Here is a 1,249-nt window from a genome sequence, read left to right as displayed (position 1 = left end):
TCTAGGCCTGAGTCCAAAGTCCCATCTCTTGCACTCTAGTGATCACGCCAGGGCCTTGCAGAGCCCCTCAGCAACTGACTTTAGATCTTATCTAACACAATGGCCACAGGAAGCCAAAGAGATGGAGAGGACCTAGAATGCAGGTCCATGCAGAAACATGAAACGAAACCAAAAATCTTAGCCTGAGAAGTGTGTCCTCTGCATCCCCGTTGCAGAAATACAGAGAAGAAATCAACAGAGCTAGGACTCACAAACCAGCCAGCTATTTCCATATGAAGAGAAGAGACTGATGGGACCAAGCCTTTTTTAATTTTTTTTTTCTTTTTCTGGAAGGCCATTGGTGGGTGTTTCCACCCTTGCTGGTGATAAAGTGTTCCTTTAATTATCAGTGTCGGGCTGAGTCCAGAAAGCTATTTTCCTCTGCTATTGTCACAAGGAAATGAAAGGCGTGAGACTCCCAGGCGGCTCTCATTTGGGGGCCGCGGGTGGCCGCAGAGAGGCTGCCTGTGGGGGAGAGGGGGGTATGTGTCGTGACTGAGCCACTGCAGTGACTATCCAAGCTCAGATATTCCCCTCGGGTCTCTGTTACTATCACCAGAAAACAGTCGGCACCCTGACACAGCCCCCTCCTCTCCTTGCCCGCTCCCTGAAGAGGCATTCCTCTTCAAAACATCCTGGTGGAAGAAAAGCAAGGGGGTATATTTTTTTCTGCCTCTCACCTTCAGTTCAAGTCCTCAGAACACTCCAAGGTCTTAGCCTCATGATTCCGATGTCCCTGCCCCGAGGCTGGCCCTCACGGCTGCAGCCTAGATGTTCGGTGCAGGAAGACATGGGCTTTTCTCTTATCCCACATCATGCCTGTAAACCTTCACTGACTTCCCACTGCTGTCTCAAAAGGAGCTACACATATGTGTTAAGCATTTTTTTTTTCTTTGAGACAGGGTCTCGCTCTGTCGCCCAGGCTGGAGTGCAGTGGTGCAATCTTGGCTCACTGCAACCTCCACCTCCTGGGTTCAAGCAATTCTCATGCCTCAGCCTCTGGGGTAGCTGGGATTATAGGCATGTGACACTATACCTGGCTGATTTTTGTAATTTCAGTAGAGATGGGTTTTCATCACGTTGGCCAGGCTGGTCTCAAACTCCTGACGTCAGGTGATTCACTCACCTCAGTCTCCCAGTGTGCCAGGATTACAGGCATGAGCCACCACACCCAGCCTGCATCAAGCCTTTAAGGCCACTGTGATCAAGA

At 50.3% G+C, this 1,249-nt stretch overlaps 1 annotated feature.

Moving 5' to 3' along the window:
* Positions 502-1,002: an enhancer, noted in NCBI's record as "H3K4me1 hESC enhancer chr20:49674148-49674648 (GRCh37/hg19 assembly coordinates)". NCBI's record gives its function as "activates a minimal SCP1, AML or CMV promoter by ChIP-STARR-seq in primed H9 embryonic stem cells {active_cell/tissue: H9 hESC(primed)}" and the evidence as "EXISTENCE:reporter gene assay evidence [ECO:0000049][PMID:30033119]".

Source organism: Homo sapiens, chromosome 20, assembly GCF_000001405.40.
Source record: "Homo sapiens chromosome 20, GRCh38.p14 Primary Assembly".
Lineage (NCBI taxonomy): Eukaryota > Metazoa > Chordata > Mammalia > Primates > Hominidae > Homo > Homo sapiens.
This window is presented reverse-complemented; position numbering and strand designations above follow the sequence as displayed.